This window comes from Homo sapiens, chromosome 9 (genome assembly GCF_000001405.40).
Source record: "Homo sapiens chromosome 9, GRCh38.p14 Primary Assembly".
NCBI classification, from domain to species: Eukaryota; Metazoa; Chordata; class Mammalia; order Primates; family Hominidae; genus Homo; species Homo sapiens.
This window is the reverse complement of record NC_000009.12, coordinates 72,637,038-72,659,086: the sequence shown is the minus strand read 5'-3', so window position 1 is coordinate 72,659,086 and position 22,049 is coordinate 72,637,038. Positions and strand designations below refer to the sequence as shown.

Genomic DNA, 22,049 nt, shown 5'->3' with positions numbered 1-22,049 from the left:
TTTTTGACCATTTCTTCTGATTTATATTTCCTCTCCACTCATCATGAGGCTTCTGGATCTCATGTTGTCTGGGCTAATAGAGTAAATATTAGAAGAAGGGCAAAAAGTTAAGCACTTTTGCTCACACTATGTGGCCATAATGCCCTTGTGCTAGCATCTGTGGCTATTGCCTGGAAAAATTTGTAAGTTCTTCAGAACCACTCCCTTTTTCCCTGAGGGAATCTTCACTCTATGATTTATTGACTTAGATTACGTATTTTCCCGAAGGCCTTTTGTAACACCCCAGCAGTTCACCCCATCAGCTCCTTCTGTGTCTGCAAGACCCTCACTCTAGCAAGCACTCTTCTTGGGAGAATAATCATCAGAATTTCTGAATCTCTCTTACTTTTTATTGCATGTACTTGGCTCAGAAGGAATACATGAATTCTTGCTTTTGAAAAAATAACAGAAATGTAAGAAGCTGTTTTCAATAATTCTGTTCTATAAAACATATTCCTATGCGTAGGTACTACATGTTATACACGTTTAGCAAAAGTTGTCTAGGATAGAGAGTTAAAAATTAGCTAGAAAGAAGGAAGGAAGAAAAGAGTTAAAAGAGTTAAGGAATAGAAGCTAGGATTTATGGAACTCTACCCGTATGTCAGGGCCTGCACTGCAAAACAGGTATTATCTCCATTTTGTAGATGAGTAAGATAGACTGAAAGAGATTAAATGTTTAGTTATGGTGAACAACCATAGTTTTTTTTTTTTTTTTAGACGGAGTCTCACCCTCTCACCCAGGTGAAAAAATACACAGTATATATTGCTTCTACAATTCAATTGATACTTTATATCCTGCACCCCCAATTTTTTTTTACTGTGGTCCTAAACTACCTTTCAATTTTTCTAAGTATTTGTTCCATCTGCCCAAATAGATTATGAGCTTCTCAAGGAGTGTCTATTACACTTTTTGTTGTATTCAGTAATCAACATATATTGAATATTGAGTTAAATCCATTAAAATTAAAAGTACACAGCTTGTTCAAACACAAGAGGATATGAGGATAATTTAATCACTGTGCTGGTAGATATGAATCTGCATTGATGGGAACTGACTTTTCCCCATACCACAGCCTGAACAGAAGGAAGAATTCTCATATACTAATATGAAATATTTAAATTAGTACTAAAAATTAATTTCCAAATTGAAACAATTGTTAAACTATAGACTGTGTCATGACTGATATGGTGGAGGAGCTTAAGAGATTTGGCTTCTGCATAGCGATACTTTTCATTGTCTAGGACAATTTTGGCTTGGATTCTTTTAATTTTGTCTCATTGTAAAGTTATGGACTTTACAACCCTTCTTCAAGTTTCTCCAAGACCTATAAAGACATTAGACAAAAGCGGAATTTCATCTATCTTTTCCGATTATAACATACCATATGGATACACCCAAGATTTATAAATTTTGTCATATGGAACTCAGATACTAAAAATCTATTATATTTGGCAAAAACCAGAACTGAGAGAACCACCCCAAAACTGAAAAATATATTTTGAAGATATTCTCATTTACCTGTTTACATCATGTAAAATTATGATAACTAAAGGGAATCCTCAAATAATTAAGTAAAAGCATATTATAAAAAAAACAGTATTGGAATTCTGCTCCCAGCCACAATGCAGTAACTAGGAATGCATTTACCTTCTTACCTTAAGCAACTAGAAAGCCAGACAAAATATATGAAACATCTTTCTTCAGGCATTGTTCAATAGGCAATTACAGTGATCTCTGAAAGGGAAGGAAATGAGATGACCCCGATGTTGCCTGATCTTTTTGCCTGAGGAGAGTTTCTAGGCTGCAACATGGGCAGGGGAAACCCAAACAGTGGCTTGTGGTCTCACTGAGTTGAGGAGACATAGTTCTGATTTCAGGGAGTTTCACACACTTAGAATTTGTGGGATAGAATAACAGAAACAGTGATACAGAGAGAGCTCTGGAGATCTTTGAATCCTTTCAAACTTTGGCTGAATACCGCTATGTGCATAGATGTGTGGTAACTACTAAGGCCAGGGAAAGAACTATCAGAAAAGAGTATGCAGAACAGTGTCCAGACCTTACAAGAATCAGGAATAGCTTAGGCTACCAACCAGTCAGAGGAGAAAGACCTCCTATCTCACAGAACATGAGACCCTTCAGAGGGCTATTTCCTAGATCAAAGTAGCCCTGCTCTGAATTCACCCTAACAAATCTTAAAAGCAAATCTCAAAAGCATCCAGCTAATTCCAAGAAACTTATCTGCATCCCGGAGGGGGGAAAAAAAAGAAATCCAACAATATTTAAAGGAATACAGAAAAATCCAGGACACAAAAATGTAAAATTCATTATATCCAATTGTAAATGAAGTTCACTTTTATAAATTTTCATTGATAAAAAAATTACCAAGTAAGCAAAGAAGTAGGGAAAATATTGCCTCCCAACCAGAATAGTAATCAAATCAATCAATAGAAACAGATATAGTAATTTCATAGATGATAGAAGTAACAGATAACAACAGTAAAACAATTATTATAAGTATACTCCAAATGTTTAAGACAATGAGAAAGATTAAAAAACGTTTTCAAATACAAATCAAACTCTGCAGATAGAAAATACAATATTTGAAATGAGAAACATACTGGATAGGATGAACTTTAGATTAGATATTGGCCCAAAAAAAAAGGCACCAAACTTGAAGACAGATTTTATCCAAAATGAAACAGAAGGAAATTAAGATTTTAAAACATGAAACACCTCTTTGAAGAAGAGGTGGTCGTAGGTGTTGTGGAGCTCTGATCCGCCCGCACCTGCTCCTGACTCACCACTGTTCACTCTTGCCGGAACAAGTAGGTCAGGAAGCCGCGCAGCAGTGATGGCTTTTAAGGATACCGGAAAAACACCCACGGAGCCGAAGATGGCAATTCACCGAATTCGAATCACTCTAACAAGCTGCAATGTAAAATCCCTGGCGAAGGTGTGTGCTGACTTGATCAGAGGAGCAAAGGAAAAGAATCTCAAAGTGAAAAGACCAGTTCAAATGCCTACTAAGACTTTGAGAATCACTACAAGAAAAAACTCCATGTGGTGAAGGTTCTAAGCCATGGGATCATTTCCAGATGAGAATCCACAAGCGACTCATTGACTTGCTCAGTCCTTCTGAGATTGTTAAGCAGATTACTTCCATCAGTATTGAGCCAGGAGTTGAGATGGAAGTCACCATTGTAGACGTATAAGTCAACTATTTTAATAAATTAATTACCAGTTGAAAAATTAAAAAAAAATGAAACAAGCATCAGTAATCTTTTGAATGATTTTTTTTTTTTGATACGGATTCTCGGTCTGTCGCCCGGGCTGGAGTGCAGTGGCGCGATCTCAGCTCACTGCAGGCTCCCCCTCCCGGGTTCAAGCCATTCTCCTGCCTCAGCCTTACAAGTAGCTGGGACTACAGGCGCCCACCACCATGCCTGGCTAATTTTTTGTATATTTAGTAGAGACTGGGTTTCACCATGTTGACCAGGATGGTCTCGATCTCTTGACCTGCCAAAGTTAGGAAGTCTGGGATATTTGTAATTGGAGTCCCAGAAGGGAGAGTCAGAAAAAAATGAGAAAATAATGGCACAAAGTTAGGAATGGTCAGACTACTCATCAGAAACTATGGAAGAGTGAAATCCTTAAAGCACTGAAGGGAAAAAAGGGACTAGCAACCTGTAATTGTATGTACCGTGTTAGTCCATTCTCATGCTGCTATGAAGAAATACCTGAGACTGGGTAATTTATAAAGGAAAGAGGTTTAATTGACTAACAGTTCAGCAAGGCTGGGGAGACCTCATGAAACTTACAATCATGGCAGAAGGTGAAGGGGAAACAGGCACCTGCTTCACAAGGTGGCAGAAAGGAGAAGTGCAAGCAGGGGAAATGTCAGACACTTATAAAACCATCGGATCTCATGAGACTCACTCATTATTAGGAGAACAGCATGGGGCGAACGGCCCTCATGATCCAATTACCTCCACCTGGTCCCACCCTTGACACATGGGGATCATGGGGATTACAATTCAAGATAAGATTTAGATGGAGACACAGGGCCAAACCATATCATATGTCCATCAAAAAACTTTCAAAAATTAGCTAAAGGCTTTTTCAGACATACAGAAGTTCAGATAATCATTGCCAACAGATCTGTACTACAAAAAAATACTAAAGGTAGTTATTCAGGCAGAAGGAAAAGTATACCAGATAGAAATTTGGATCTCAAATATGGAAGAAAAAAAAAACAATAAAAATGGCAAATACATGAGAAAATATGAAAGACTATTTTCTTATTTTTAAAAATCTCTTTTAAAGAATTTAATATTTAAACAAAAAGTAATAATGATAGATTGTAGAGTTTATAATATATACAGAATAAAATGCATGAAAACAATAGCAACAAGTACAGGATGGGGAACTGATATTTTTACCACTGTAAGGTTCCTAAAACATATGTAAGGGGTATACCATTATTTGATGACAGACTGTGATAAGTTAAAGATTTATATTGTAAACCCACTAAAATGGAACAACAACAAAGAATTTATAGATAATATACCAATAGTGAAAATGGAATAAAATAAAAAATACTTACTCTAAAGGAAGAAAAGAGAATGAAGAACAAAGAATAGATGGAGACAAAAGAAGATATAAAAGCATGTTAAACATCATTAGTCATTAGAGAAGTGCGAACTAAAACTACAATGAAGTACCACTACACATTTTCTCAAAAGGCTAAAATTTAAAAGATTCACTCTTAATTCCAGGTTTTGAATGAGGATGAGGATCAACTGGAAATCTCATACACTGCTGGTGAAAATGCAAAATTATATGTAGCCACTTTGGAAAATCATTTGGCAGTTTCTTATGAAGTTAATCAAACACTTACTGTACAACCCAGCAATTCCAATCCAAACATTCACAACAGACTTCTATTCAAATGTTCACATCAGCTTTATTCATAACAGCCCCAAATATAAAACAACTGGAATGTCCATTAACTGGTGAATGGATAAACTGTGAACCACGTATACAATAGAATACTACTCAGCAATAAAAAGAAACAAATTATTGATACACCCAACAATTTGGATAAATCTTAAAAGCACTATACTAAATGTAAGAAGTCAGGCACAAAAGAGTACTTACTGTACATTTCCATTAATATGAAATTCTAGAAAATGCAAACTAATTTACGCTGACAAAAAGCAGACTAGCAATTGCTTGGGTCTAGAGGTAGAGTATATGGGTGGTGGGGTGTAGAGAAGGAAGGAATGTGTGGATTTATTCCAAGAAGGCATGAGGAAACATTTTGAGGCGGCGGAAATCTTTATCATGATTTTTATAATGTATATACATTTGTCAAAACTTGTCAAATTGTCATTTTAAATGTATATAGTATATTGTGCCTAAAGTATACTAAGGCTGATTTTAAAAGTGGGATGAAAGAAAGAGAAATAAAGGAGTGTCACCATTTTATCAGCCAAAGGAATAGCATAATGCTTTTGAGATTCATCTACATTGTTAGATGTATCAACAGTTTTTCTTTTTATTGTTGAATAGTAACCTATGGTATGTAAGTTTCATAGGTTTTTTGTGTGTCTATTCACCTGTTGATGTCCATCAGTCATTACTGACGAACATTTCAAACCCAAGGAGTGCTGCCACTTCAGAGGAATCCTGAAAGCACAAACCAGGTTAGGAACAAATGTGTCAATGTTCCTAATTTTCATAGGCTCTTTATAGCTGGCATAGCAATGTGCCTGACTCTGGTTTTATTTCAATAATTGTTCTGTACTTTCCCCAAACACATGAATCTATAAACGCTTTGAGAGAAGGGACTCTGTCACAATACCTTCTTCCCAGAGCACTTAAAAAGAACAAAACAAATTATTTGCTGAATGAACTGTGATCAGATGAATGAATGAATTAATAAAGTGAATTTCTATGAGAATTTATAATCCCAACACATTGATATATAAATTATTTATTTATTGTAGGAAATGCTATCTATTCATCTTTATATATAGTAAAACATTATTCAAGTACCACAAATTTAGAATTTTGAAGAATTTGTACAAGGCTTATCTTTGTATTGTTGAAAAAAATTTTATATGGCCAAAGACAGTATAGCAACATGGTGATGATTGCCACCTTTATTTTGTATGTCAATTCAAAGTTTAGAAATGGCTTTCACAAGCATTATCTCAATTAAGTGCTATTTTACCAATAGGCAGTTTCTACTTACAAAAAGTCATAGAATCTATTGATACATTGAAGGAAAATTTCAAAGGGCTTTTTCTAGCTAATATGTAGTTAATCTGCTTCAAATTATGATGAGACAAAGACAGAGAGAGCTCTCAATACAATTACATTTTAAATTACAATTAAGAATTGTCATCATTTTTACAGACGTTCCCCGGGTTGGTCCGCATTGCAGGTTATTTCTTTGCAACATACTAAGGTTCTTAACTGATCCCACCTTCCCTCTGGTAACTGTCTACTCCCTTAGCTTCTCCTCTCATCTCGCTGGCCCATCCTTTCTGTTTCTTCCATGGGCTTATCCTCCTCCACCCACCTCTAAATGCTGAAGTTGTTCAGGGTGCCATTACTAGCCATCTAGCCATCTTCCCTTGTCATTCTATATGCTTTCCCTAGGAAGCCACGTGATTTTAGAAACTTTAACTCACAGATAATGACAAAATCAGTATCACCAACATCCACCTTTCTCCTAAGCTACAGCAAATATCTTGCAAATAATCAAGCCATATCCCAAACAAACCTCTTTCTGCTGCCTTCCTGTTTTATTTATTAGAATTACCTTCTACTCAGATATACAAATGGCCAACAAGTATATGGAAAGATGTTCAGCATCACTAATTATCAGGGAAATACAAATCAAAACCATAATGGGATACCACCTCCCTCCTACAACAATGGTCATGATCAAAAAATCAAAAAATAATAGATGTTGGCATGAATTGGAGACTATTATTGTAAGTGAAGCAACTCGGGAGTGGAAAACCAAACATCATATGTTCTCACTCACAATTGGGAGCTAAATTATGAGGACACAAAGGCATAAGAATGTTACAATGGACTTTGGGGAGTCAAGGGAAAGGATGGGGGGTGAGGGATAAGAGACTACACATTGGGCATAGTGTACCCTGCTTAGGTGATAGGTGCACCAAAATCTCAGAAATCACCACTAAAGAACTTATTCATGTAACCAAACACCACCTGTTCCCTAAAAACTTACTGAAATTTTAAAAATAAAAATAAAAATAAAAATTTCCCTTCTACTCAACTGACCAAGTCAGAAACTTGGGAGTCATTCTTAATACCTTCTTATCCCTCATCTTCCCACATTCAATCTCACCAAATACTAGTATTTCTATGTATCAAATGTTTTTAGAGTTTTTTTTTCTTTTTGTATCAGACAGAGACATCATGCACATCATCAAATTCCCTTGAATGTTCCCTTTCTTTCTATGGCTCTGCCCAAATCCCAGCCCCAACCAACCACTTGCCCTTGAAGTGGCAAGCCTACAGCAGAGTTGACAACCTGCAATCATGAGATTTTAGGGCCTGTGCTACTTCCAGACTTGGCTAAAACATCACACCATGGAGTGTGGGATCTAGGATCTTACAGCAATGCCCTGTTGAAGGAGCTCGATAATACAACTCAGAAGTCTGTTGTGTTGACTCTCCATGGAGTGAAAACAGCATACAGGAGGTTATCCAGGCAGATAAATTTGCCTTGCTTCATCGCTTCATGGGCTACCTCATGAAAACAGTTTTTCCTTGCATTCTGTGCAGAGTATTTCAACAAGCTGAGCAATGGACTTGCCAGTTGACTTGTTCTGTCCCAACTGGATAAAGAAAATGTGATATATATATATATGTGATATAGATACATGTGCTATATATATGTGATATATATATCTATATATTTTTATATAGATATATATATATAAAATACACCATGAAATACCACGCAGCCATAAAACAAGAACGAGATTATGTCTTATGTGGGAACATGGATGGAGCTAGAGGACATATCCTTGTATATGTGATATATATATGTGACATATATATACCTATATATATTTATATATATATCTATATATATTTATATATATATCTATATATCTATATATATAAAATACACCATGAAATACCATGCAGCCATAAAAAAAGAACGAGATTATATCTTATGTGGGAACGTGGATGGAGCTGGAAGACATTATCCTTAGCCAACTAATGCAGAAACAGACAACCAAATACCACGTTCTCATTTATAAGTATGATAATGATAAGAACTTATGAAAACAAAGAAGGAAACAACAGACCCTGGGGTCTATGTGAGGGGGGAGGATAGAATGAGGGAGGGGAGGAGAAAAGAAAACTAAACTATTGGGTTCTGGACATAGGTACCTGGGTGTGAAATAATATGCACAACAAACCCCTGTGACACATGTTTACCTATGTAACAAACTTTCATACGTACTCCCAAGCCTAAAATAAAAGTTAAAAAAAAAGGCTTGTTCTGTCCCTTCATAGCTTGTTGGAAGTCATCATAGTAAGGCATCACTTATCTTTCCTTTACCTCTAGTCATCACAGTGACGCATCACTGAACATTGTACAGAACCTGGCACATAATAGACACTCAATAATGGAGCTATTGTTATGATTCTGTGACATTATGCAAACCACACCAGGCAAGTCTATCATTTTTTTCCATTCTTATGAAGCCCAAGTACTGCCTTAAAAACATTTGCTTTCTATTTATTGATTTTTACCCATTTTATTATGTATAAACCAAACATAACTCTCATATAAAAAGTTTGGAAGAGAATACCCAAATGTTGATAATAATATTTTTGTGGTGGGATTCTGTATTTTCATCAGTGCATCATTTAGTACATTTTCTCTAAAGTTTACATATTTTCTGCAACAGCATATATTACATTCATAATTAAAATAAAGCTGTTAAACTTTAAAATACCTGCTATGTGAGCACAATAAGGTTAATAAATGATAAATAATATGCAGCACTAATAAACAGCAGGAATAATCCATTCTAATTTGACTTGCTTAATGAGATGGTTGGCAATTAAGATAGCCTGAGCAGATTTATTACAAGTTTTTGTAAAAACTACTGGGCACTTAAAAAGTTTGCCAGCACTATAACTACCTAAATAGCCTGAGGAACTTGAAGATCCCAGGGTTGAGAAAAATGCTAAGGTGTTGAAATCTACCATCTTCCATAAGATTTGAATCCTGTTCTTACTAATGAAAAACCACGCCACCCTGTTAAGAGTTAATATGAAAGTTTGGGCCATTTCCAATAGCTTCTTTGGAAAGATGTGTAGAGCCTCATAAGAAGTGGTTGTTTTGTTTTTGTTTTTTCAAAAGCAATGACCTTCTCAATAATGATGTTCTCCAGGTGTTTAAAGTTAATAAAATGAGCATATTAAATAGGGTACTGCTCAGATTCCCAAGATATGAGCCTGAAGCTGGATGGCTTTACTAGATTATCTCTAAATGAGGTCTCTGTTTCCACTTTCCATTCTAAGATTAAATGAGTAAGCTAACAAAATGACTGATAGCAAGATTATCTGGACTAGACAGTCTATACAGAAAAGCAAATGTGTGTGTCCAGGTTTTTCCTATTTGAAAATTCTGCCAGTTTGTCTTTAGGGAACTGAAATGTTGTTGAAAATAGATCCAAGTGTAAGCTACATAAATGTCACAGAATGACTGATGAATGAACATGCCACACATTATCCACACAGTACTGAAAATGCACCCTATGGCAAGTCACAGCAAGCAAAAATGTGTTTTATCACGTTGCTCATTCCTTCACATAAATATCCTACAACAATAGGGTTTGATGTCTCCTTTCTCTGCTATCCCTGACTTTACCTGCTTCCTCTTCTCAACTTAATTTAGAACTTTGCTTAACTCATAAACGGAAGCAGAACACATCCCCTTTCAAAAACTGTCTCACACACCAATCTGACAATAGGTCACTGCTGTGGAATAAAGCCCGCATTTGAGTTGCTATGCTGAAATCTCAGTGCATTTTCCTTTCCTCCATTGTCTTTCTGAGTGAAAGCGAGGTCAGTTTTAGCACTTACCAGTTGGTGAAATCATTCATCCATAAAAGAGAAGAAGGTGGAGAGATATTAAACCCTTCTCAATTTCTCAGGAAACAAAGGGAAACTACCCACAGAAAAAAATGAAAAAGGGAAAGCCCCAAAAGAGGGAACAAAAATTGTAAAACAAACTTTCCAAAGTTTTCAAATACCTTTATACCTCTCAGAAAGACATAGTGTCCTACAGACAGTCTTGATTTTGTAAATACCTTTTTTGGGTGACATCCTGGGGGTGTCCTGTCAGAAGGTCTCAGTGGCTGGCTAGTTTGGAGAGGGACTGCAGGATGAAGGAACAAATATTTCAGGTTTGATCTAGCACATCCACACACTTCTGCCTGCCACTGAAAGTGCTCCCCTGGTGCCATTTCACCATCTGAAACTTAAGAAGGTACTCATTTCCTCACCATTAAATTTTCACGAATGTTTAGTTTGCCATTTAAGGGACGGAGTACTCAGGTCAAAGGGGTTGAATTTGGGGTTCATGTTTGGAATAAAACTAAACTGATCATATAAGTCCTATTCAGAGCAAAGCTGGCTTCATCCCACTCTGCCTGTGCTTTCCTGCCTCATTTTTAATGCCTTCCATTCTATGGTTTTATCCTAATTACATATATTGAGGGCAGTGTAAGTGAGTGCACCCTTAGAAAGGTAAGAAATACCAGCCACTAAGTGTGCTTGGTAAATTAAATGCGTTAGTAAAGAAGATACTCCTGCACTTGGCGTTTGGGTTTAAGCAGCAAAGCTATAGCACATTCAACATAGCAATCAATCTCCAATAACGGGAAACCTGGGGGCATAGTATTTATTTTCTCAACTTTTCTGAAAGTAAAACTTGCTATATGAAGAAAGTGCTATTTTTCTGAGGAAGTATAACATTTTTTTCTTTCTATTGAAACTTCTCCTAGGAAGGTAGTGATCTTTGATTGGAATGATAAAAAAGATTTCCATCAGTGAAAAGAAAGGGACAAAAGACACCAATTGTAATGGTGCAGAAAAGGCTGTCTTTTTGAGAGTACGGACGCTGGCATTCTCTGGTTACTTGAGTGATAGCAAGCATAGCTGCACTAACCTTGGCAAGAGGAAGCAATGTTTTGAAATGGATCCTGGTGGCACATTTATACTGGAGCAGCTTTTGGCTACACAAATCAATTTGTGCACATATATGACCCTTCTAGAATATATAGACTAGTACATAGCCAAGGCAGTATGGAGCACACCCTAAATTATGTCTTAAAATAAATCTCTGTAAGGGTGATGTTCACCTGGTTTTTCCCTATTCTAGATACTGGATTTTAATTGGAGTAGTAAGAGAGAAGACAGCTGATACAAGTATTTATATGTGAAGATATCCAGAGTACTTAATTAACTTAAGGACTTACAAAGAGATAAGGTTTTGTTGCAAATTATTGAATCTGTAATTTAGAGCAAGAACAACATGCAATTTGATTTATATTAACCATAAATATATAAAATAACTCTAAATACTATTATAACAAAAACCATGAGAAAATTAACAAAAGATGTTTTGCAAGACTCATATCCAGAAGATTATGAAAACAAGACTAAAGAAACTGAAGACAATTAAAAAAGAAAAATAGATGAATTAAACTACATTAAAATAAAAAAATTTCTATTCATTAAAAGAGGTTTCAAAGAAAACTAAAAAAAAAGTAAGAGATATTTGCCACTGACAGAGCATTTTCTTTTCTCTCTCTTTTTTTTTTTTTTTTTTGAGATGGAGTCTCACTCTGTCACCCAGGCTAGAGTGCAGTGGCATGCTCTCAGCTCACTGCAACCTCCACCTCCTGGGTTCAAGCAATTTTCCTGCCTCAGCCTCCCGAGTAGCTGGGATTACAGGCACCCGCCACCACACCGGGCTAATTTTTGTATTTTCAGTAGAGATGGAGTTTCACCATGTTGGCCAGGTTGGTCTCGAACTCCTGACCTCAGGTAATCCACCCACCTCAGCCTCCCAGAGTGGGATTACAGGCATGAACCACCATGCCCAGCCCAACAGAACACTTTCTAAAAGATTAGTATCAAAAATAAAGAACTGTTTTATTATAACAAGAAAAGGACAAGCACACCTACAGGAAAAAAATGGTAAAAGATTTGAACAGATACTTCATATGTTAGGATATAAAATGGCCCATTGGAGGTTGCAGTGAGTCGAGATAGTGCCACTGCACTCCAGTCTGCAGGACGGGGCGAGACTCCATCTCAAAAAAAAATAAATAAATAAAAAATAAAAATAAAATAAAATGGCCCATAACCCAATAAGATGAGCAAAAACATGAACAGTAATATCATAAAAGAAGGGAAAATATAGCCCATAAACATAAGAAGAAAAGTCCAATGTCTTCTGAGTAAATGGAAATCAAGACCACTACAGGTACGGGTATGAATTGTCATGTATTTTTTCTGGCAAAATTAGTAAGTCTGAAAATAGTAAATGTTGAAGAATGAAGATGATTAGAATCTCTCATATACGGCTAATAGGAGTATAACTTAGCTACTTTGGAGAACAATCCAGCAATATCCTGTGAAAAGTTGAGCTTTTGCTAAACTATGACTCAGAAAATTTAATACTAAGACTATTACAATAAACTTGCACCTGTGTATGAGGTGGCAAATACTATTTATATTAGTAGCACTGTTCATAATAGAATAACAATAACAAAAATATTGCAAAATATGATCATCAGTACATTGATATGTAAATTATGCAATAGTCACAACAATATAAATCATAGACTATAATTTTGGAATATTCACAAAACAGAGTGTGATATAGCAGTAAATGTACATGACTTGATAAGCTGATTCCAAAAATTTATATATGTGAGAGGACTTCAAAAATTTTGTGGAAAAATATAATTAAAAGATTAAAATGAAAAATATAAACTTTATTTCTCAATATAAGCTCCATCAAGTTTAAGACACTTTTGTAAGCAATGATACCGGCCAAATAGTCCATTCCTTAAGAAATGAAGACCCTGGGAATTGAATTATGTCAATGCAGTCTTTTTTACATTATTAACTAAGGAAAAATGGGTGCCCCTTAAAGATTATTTTAAGATTAGAAAACAAAAAGTCAGAAGAAACCAAATCAAGACTGTAAGGTGGCTGCCTAATGATTTCCCATTGAAATTCTTGCAAAATTAGAGCTTTATTTCGTGAGAGCTTGTTTCGTGACAATGAACAGGAACATTGTCATGGTGGAGAAGGACTCTGTGGTGAGGCTTTGCCAGACGTTTTTCTGCTAACGCTTTGACTTTCTCAAAACACTCCCATAATGAGAGATATTATTGTTCTTTGACCCTCCAGAAAGTCAAGAAAAGTGCCTTGAACATCCAAAAAACTGTTGCCATGATCTTTGCTCTTGACTGGTCTGCTCTTATTTTGACTGGGCCACTTCCACCTCTTGGTAGCCATTGTTTTGATTGTGCTTTGGCTTCAGGGTCATACTGATAATCCATGTTTCATCTCCTATTAATGTTCTTTTAAGAAATCTTTCTGGACCTTGATCCCACTTGTTTAAAATTTCCGTCAAAAGCTCTACTCTTGCCTGCAGCTGATCTGGGCACAATGGTTTTGGCACCCATAGAGTGGAAACTTTGGCCAATTTTAATTTTTCAGTCAGAATTGTGTAAGCTGAGCCAGTTGAGGTGTATATGGTTGTGGCTATTACTTGTGCTGTTAATCATCAGTGCTCTTCAATTAAGACACAAACAAGATGAATTTTTTTCCTATCAATTAATGTGGATGGTCTGCTGCTGTGGGCTTCGACTTCAACATCATATCATCTGTTCTTAAAATGAGTTATCTGTTTGATAATGTGACATTTTCCCCATAAATTTTTCATAAAGCATCAATGATTTCACCCTTTTTTCACCCACGCTTCACGATAAATTTGATATTTGTTCTTGCTTCAATTTTATCAGAATTCATGTTGCTCTGATAGGGGCTGTTTTTAAATTGATGATTTATCCTTTTTAGTGCCTCAAACTAGCTCCTGTTCACACATATTATAACAAGTTAGTACACATTTACTTTGATGCAAAAGAATTTTGAAAATTTTAAAATTCCATACCTTTTGTTATAATACACATTTTCCATGTACTTTTTGATTAATGCAAATTACTTGGAATAGGAAAATGCAACCTTGAAAAGGAAGAAAATAGCAGACTTTTACTACCTAACTTTAAGACTTTATTAACTACAGTTATCAGGACAGTGTAGCATTGGCATCAACATAGATGAATCACTGAAACAGAAAAGAGAATTCAGAAATAGACTCACACATATATAGGCAAATGATTCACAACAAAGGTACAAAGACAATTTAATGGAGAAATTAGTCTTTTCAATAAATAGTGCTGGAACAATCAGTTTTCCACATATTAAAAAAAAATCTTCAATCTGCATCTTATACCATATACAAAAATTAACTCAAAATGGACCATAGACCCAAATGTAAAACCTAAAACTATAAAACTTCTAGAAGAAAACACATAAGGCTATGGGTTAGGCAGATTTTTTTTTAGATATAACACCAAATGTCCAATCCACAAAATAAAAAAAAACATAAAGTGAACTTTATAAAATTAAGAGCATCTGCTCTTCAAAAGACTGCTAGGAGAATGAAAAGACAATCACAGACTGGGAGAAAATATTTGCAAATCATACATTTGTTAAAGGATTTGTATCCAGAATATATATAGCACTCTCCAAAGTTACTAATAAGAAAACAAACAGTCCAATAAAAAATGTATCAATTATTAAACAGATATTTGACCAAGGAAGATAATGATAGCAAATAAACAAAAGTAAAGACACAACATAACTAGACACTAGGGAAATGCAAATTAAAACAACAGTGAGATATCACTACACATTTATTAAAATGGCTAAAATTGCAAGACTGACTATAGCAAGTGTTGGAAGGGGGATGGTGAAGAACTAGAACTCTCATACACTGCTGCCAGGAATGTAAAATGGTACACACTTTGGACAACAATTTGGCAATTTCTTTAAAAGTTAAACATACATCTACCATATGACTTAGGCATTCTACTCTAAGACATTTACCCAAGAGAAATGAAAGCATATGTCCCTATACAGACTTCCACATGAATCTTTGTCACAGCCAAAACTGGAAATAATGCAATGTCCATTCACAAATGAATAAATTGCAATGTATTCATGTAATTGAATGCTAATTTGTAATAATACAGAATGAACTATTGATACACACAAAAACTGATATGAATGGCAAAATAATTGTGCTGCATGAAAGAAGCCAGACAAAAAAAAGAGCACATGCTATATGATTTAATTTACATAAAATTCTAGAAAATGCAGTGACACAAAGCAGATCAGATGGAAGGAGGGAAGAATAACATAAAGACACAAGGAAACTGAGATATGTTATTACCTTGAAAGTGTTGATGGTTTCATTGTGTATACATATGGCAAACTTTTCAAGTTGTAAATGAGTATGTGTAGTTTACTGCATATCAATTTCTTTCCCTCCACAGGGCTGTTTCTCCATGTGAATGTATATGAGTTTTATCTCAATAGAGCTATTGAAATACAAGCCATGCATGGGCCCAAATGAGAGTATGTTATGAAATAAACATCAAGATTAATCTACTTCTGTACATGTGATATCTAAAAAAGCGGGAAAGTTGGAAGGAGAGAAAAAAGGCAGAATAAAAGGAGGAAGAAGAAAAAAAGAAAGGAAGGAAGGAGGGAGGAAAGGAGAAGAAAGGAAGGAAAAAACCTTTGAAAATTAGATAGAAACAATCTAAATACATATAACAACGTGAATAAGTCAAATTATTTGTGCTCAGTGAAAGAAGCCTGTCTCAAAAGGCTACATACAGTAGTGTTCCATTTATTTGACACTCTTGAAAAGGCAAAACTATAGACAGGAAATTTATTAGCGATTGTCAGGAGCTAGGAGAATTAACCACAAAGAGGCTTGAGAGAATTTTGGAGGGGAGACGAGAGAATTATTCTATATCTTGTCTACAGTGATTGTCACACTAATGTAGGTGTTTGTTAAAACTCATAGAACTTAAAGGGTTTATTTATTACATCTGAATTATATCTGAACAAATCTGACTACGAAGAAAAAGTAGAAAAACAATACTTCTTGGCTTAACCTTGGGCTGTAGTTATTTTTCTCTGCCTATATTGAGTCTTTTTAAAAATTGAATTGACAATATAAAATGTTTAAAAATTTCATACAAATTTTTGGATTTCTGACTTTTCTTTAAAAATATGTGACAAACCATACTCACATTTTTACATGGCAATAATCTTCTGTGGCTAAATAGGCAGCAGTTTCCTCTGCAGGCATGCAGTCAATCCCTACCTGATAGCTTTACTATTTAAGGCATATTGCCTGTCCAATCCCTAGAGATATTTACGTTTAAGTTCTTGCCTTAAACTCATGTTAACCAACACCTTTACTAGCATAATCTGTTCCCTAGTCATGAATAAATCTGTCTATAGGAATGAAACAGGAAGTGTGTGATGACAATAGAACCAGAGGCATAGGGACCACTGGGGCCCTATAATATGTAGTTAGGACACAGATCATAAGATCCTGGAATAGAGAATTTGCAGCTTGAGACTAATATACAGAAAATCACAGCTGAGCATCTTAAGGAGAAAATAAACCAGCCAAATTCTGGGTGTTATTTCATCTACTTCGTGAAGTCCTTAATCACCAAAATCTAAGATCTGGGGCCAGGCACAGTGGCTCACTCCTGTAATCCCAGCACCTTGGGAGGCCAAGGCAGGCGGATCATGAGGTCAGGAGTTCGAAACCAGCCTGGCCACTATCATGAAACCCTGTCTCTACTAAAAATACAAAAAATTAGCCGGGAGTGGTGGCTCACGCCTGTAATCCTAGCTACTCAGGAGGCTGCGGGAGGAGAATCACTTGAACCCGGGAGGTGGAGAGTGCAGTGAGCCGAGATCGCACCACTGCACTCCAGCCTGGGCAATAGAGCGAGACTGTCTCTCAAAAAAAAAAAAAAAAAAAAAAAAAGATTTGGGACTACCTTATAAGCATATTTTTATTTCCGATAGTGAACACAGTGGCTCACATATATTAATAATAAGTTGTCCATAATTGTTGTCTGGAAAGAAAACGAAGGAGATCAACAGGTAAAGGATCCAAGAAGGAGGGATGAATGCACGGGCACAAGGTTTCTGCAGTTGTTCAGGACCTTGGGGACAGAAGGATCCTGTGCTTCATTGACTGTTCCACTGTTGCCATCTGGAAATTCTTAATAATTTTTGAACAAAGGACCCTACTTTTGGCACTAAGTTCCACAAATTACATAGCCTGGACTAAATCCAGGAGTTTGTAGACCCATTATTGAGCTTTTTCTACTGGAGGACAGTGAAGAGGACTGTTTTTGACACAGTGCATATATTTGGCATTGTCATAAAGTCCAGGGTGAGGCTGGGCGTAGTGGCTCACGCCTGCTATCCCAGCATTTTGGGAGGCCAAGGCAGGTGGATCACTTGAGGTCAGGAGTTAAAACAAGCCTAGCCAACATGGTAAAGCACCATCTCTACTAAAAATACAAAAATTAGTTGGGCATGGTGGCTCATGCCTGTAATCTCAGCTACTCAGGAGGTTTAGGCAGGAGGATCATTTGAACCCAGGAGGCGGAGGTTTCAGTGAGCTGAGATTGCACCACTGCATTCCAGACTGGGCAACAGAGTGAGGCCCTGTCTTAAAAAGAAAAAATAAATAAATAAAACTGCCACATAAGTGTCATTGGTTTAGGCTATTAGGCTATACCCACAAACATAATTTTGACCACCATATATCTAGTCCATATTGTCTGCCACATGAAAAGATGGACACATCTAGCAAATTTCTTTACATTTTCATTCATAATCAAATCTCAACTAAAGGCCAGGCACCGTGGCTCACACCTGTAATCCCAGCACTTTGGGAGGCCGAGGCGGGTGGATCATGAGGTCAGGAGATTGAGATCATCCTGGCTAACACAGTGAAACCCTGTCTCTACTAAAAATACAAAAAATTAGCCAGGCGTAGTGGCGGGCGCCTGTAGTCCCAGCTACCCGGGAGGTGAGGCAGGAGAATGGTGTGAACCTGGGAGGCAGAGCTTGCAGTGAGCCGAGGTCGCGCCACTGCACTCCAGCCTGGGCGACAGAGCGGCACTCCGTCTCAAAAAAAAAAACAAAAAACAAAAAACAAAAAAACAAATCCCAAGTAAAAACCATTTTGAGATAAAGGGTAAAAAAAGAGACAAAGACTTGTGGTTTCATTTCCTAAATGTTGCCTGATTCTTGACATACAGCAGGTAAGAGGAGATTGGCACTGGAATAACTATACCTATCTTAAGTGCATGTCCCCATACTTGGAAAGCTTACTGTCATTCAGGCTGCTCACCCCCATGATGATGCCTGGATAGCTTAGATGCCTAAATCAAGAGATGAGTGATGACTACACTGGAGCCTTTGCATCACGATTCTTTACAATAAAGGATTGGCGACCATAAAATTTATCCTCCACATCACATACTTTTGAGTGCTAAAATGTTAAGTTGGAGAAAACTGGAACAATAGATATTAAACAGGATTCTCACAGGCCAGCCATGACAAGTGGTCATCCTAACTATATTATCACACCATAATACAAGCATCCCATTAGACTTTAGTAGTACCAATATACAACATTAGTAAAAATGACAGTCACAAAGACATTACCAAACATGTATCAAGTGCTTTTTCTGTGCTGGGCACTGTGTTAAGCACTTAATTAAAAAAAAAATTGGATTGGCAAAACCAGAAATATGTTTTATTAATACTACATATTGGTCGCATGATGCTTTTGAATTAGGCTATGAAATTGGTTCTTTGATCTATTTTAAATTATTGTGATGCAAATTAGGATTAATTTTGGTTGCTGGAGTTGGGGGGTAAGTAGTGCCTAAAGAATTAAGAAAGATGAACAACGAAAAAAGCTATGGCCATTTTAAAATGTAAGTAACAGAAAATTAAATTACATTTGAAGGCAACTTAGATTTGACATACACTTTTTAAATAATTGCAGTCCTTCTTATTTAATTAAGAAAGGATAATTTTGGTGTTAGAGTTCCTTTAATGTATTCCTCTATGTATTAGCTAAGAATGCTTATTAAAATAACAAATGTCAGAGTAATTACATTAATTTCAAGCATATATTTCACGAGCGACTCTGCCAACATATCTGAAGACCAGCGATAAAATGTATAGATTACTTCAGGGCTTTATATGTATATCCAGATACAACTTCTGCACAGAAAATCTTTAGAAAACTGTCAAATATAATTTTCCTTTTTCAAAGGATTTTTCTAGGAAATAATTAGGTTTCTAAAAAATCCATGAATATGCTGGGGTTCTTAAAGACAGTTGCTATAAAAAAAATCAAGAGATTAGAAGTAGAGTGCCAAATGTCTTATATTTATTAATTGTGTGGGCCGTGTTTCAAATTATGAAATCTACTTTCTTAAGCCCATGGTTAGCATCTTCTAATATATCTTTCCATACATTATGGAAATTTATATCACACTAATTGCAAATAAATCCCATGAAATATTAGAATAAGTTATAGTACATTAGAATATCACCAGCATCGCTTCTCGGCCTTTTGGCTAAAATCAAGTGTAAAATATCACCAGCAGTTAGTTCCCAGTAATGAAATTCATTACACATTTATATAACTTCACATATTTCCTGATTATAAAAATAAATGCATACTTACGTTTTTTAAAAAAAACAATAATGAAGAAGAAAGTATAAAGATGAAAGTAAAAATTCCACCTATGGTAGGTTGATAAATTACTCCCTTATTTCTCTATGCTCTTCGGTAAAGAAATAGTTTTCAGAAGTAAATGAGTATTAATTTTTCAATCAAAATTAAAAATAATTGTGCATTTAAGTAAACTAAAATGCCACTAATTTGCAGGGAGTGAGAAGGAATTAAGAGATAAAGCAGCATGTTTTCTATAAATAAACTCTTGACCGTTCTCAGAAAAACTGGATTTTAGTCCAAAATCTAACACATAGTAGCTCTGTGACCTTCGCCAGTCATCACTAGCCCTCTCCATGGGAGATGACTGAGGGCAGCTTTCTATCAATTTACTCTCTACACATTTATTTCTCGCTGTTTATGCATTCAGCCAATACTATAGAGAAGACACATATGGCAGGTCCTGTCCAAGCAAGGCAATGAACACTATGCTCTGTATTTTTACTGACTCTTTCCAGCTCCTTTGTACAGAATAGGTTCAAAAAGAGGTGTGGTCAAAATAAGCAGCAGGAAGGGGGCTGCTGCAGTTCGGTGAGCATGAGTGTCGATTGTGCCCCAGACCAGAACAACAGCAGTGGACACTGCGAGAGGTACACGAGTTCCAGACAGATTTGGAATTAGAATAGTCAAATCCAGCCGATGAATTGGAAGAGCAGTTAGAGGAGAAAGCCAAGGAAAGGAAGTTTCAAAAATGACTCCCGGGCCTCTAGGTTTCAGTTACTCAGGGAATGAATGCACACATTGTAGTGTGTGGGGAGTGATAGATGATTAACGTATAAAGAAATAGATAAGATTTTTATATTGAAAACAAAACAAAGGAATAATAGGTAGAGAAGGATTGGAATAGTATGGGCAGGCTGGGGGCGGGAGGAGAGAAAGTATATGTTTCAGACAGGAGACCAGGATAGGACCTTCTAAGTTGTCTTTGAGCAGATCTGGAATGAAGGGGGTGGTGGTGGGAGGCAGCATGATCAATATCTACACGGCTTCAGCAGAACACCATAAGATCTACACGGCTTCAGCAGAACACCATAAGAACTACAGCAATTCAAGAAACTTCCCTTGGACTCCACTTTAAAATGTACTAGGCCACCACTTATGTGCTAAACTAGTTTATGTTTTAAAAAGACTGCCACAATCCATGATTCCTTATTACTGGAATACTAATTCTCTTGTGCTTTTCCAGTTCTGAAGAAATTTGAATCAACCACATCTAAGGACGTGGCTTGAACAACTTAGAATGAACAAAATGTTGCCATTGACTTTCTAGGATTCTTTAGTAAAATTATTTGTCAAGTTACTTTCAGGCAAACTGTCAAAACACATGTCTGAATTACTCTACCAGATGCTGGGTAGAAAATAGACTCTATTTACTACAGTGGGACTTCCATGAGATTGTCTTTGTGGTCTCTGGGAAATAGGTCTTCTAATATTACAATCTTTTAGTTATCTATACTGACATTAGAAGAATGACTAAAAGAGTTGAATGATTATAACTAACTGCAGAGAGATTTAAAATACTGAACAGCTCAGAGGACTACCATGTTCAAACTGTGAATCTGTTAGGAGTTCCTACTTCCAAAGCACACTGGAGACCTGTGGGAAACCCACCGACTGGGGATGGAAACAGGGGAGAGCCATGGGGAGGATTCAGACTTCTTGGATTATCACGGTGAAGAACGTATAGAGTAGGAGAGTTTTGGTAAGTGAAAAAGTCCAGTACTCAGAACAAAGGGATCTCTATGGTAGACTTCTCTATACTAGATAACTAACATAAGCTCTTGAAAACAAAAAAATAATAATAACCATTTTAGTAATCTGGCCCTATGAAATTTCTGACCTTTCAAAAATAAACACATTGGCTGACACTGGTGAATAGCAAATATCTGAAATGATTTTGAAAACCATACGGGGCTGCTGACATTTTTGCCCGTCTCCTCCACATTTATTCTCATTAGTTGATTGAAAAAAAAAAAAGGAAAAACTCAA

The 22,049-nt window shown here is 36.2% G+C and overlaps 1 protein-coding gene and 1 pseudogene across 2 annotated transcripts in view; one reads left to right on the top strand and one right to left on the bottom strand.

Annotated features, from left to right (window-relative positions):
* Positions 1 to 22,049, bottom strand: part of TMC1 (transmembrane channel like 1) — a 316,690-nt gene that overhangs the window by 179,211 nt on the left and 115,430 nt on the right. The window contains exon 5 of one of the 2 annotated variants that reach the window (NM_138691.3): positions 10,423 to 10,490. The exons of the other annotated variant lie outside the window; for it this stretch is intronic. Coding sequence (NP_619636.2) covers positions 10,423 to 10,438 — 16 coding nt within the window. The 5' untranslated portion in view covers positions 10,439 to 10,490. The remainder of the gene's footprint in view (positions 1 to 10,422; positions 10,491 to 22,049) is intronic. 2 annotated transcript variants of the gene reach the window in all.
* On the top strand, positions 2,777 to 3,287 carry RPS20P24 (ribosomal protein S20 pseudogene 24; annotated as a pseudogene).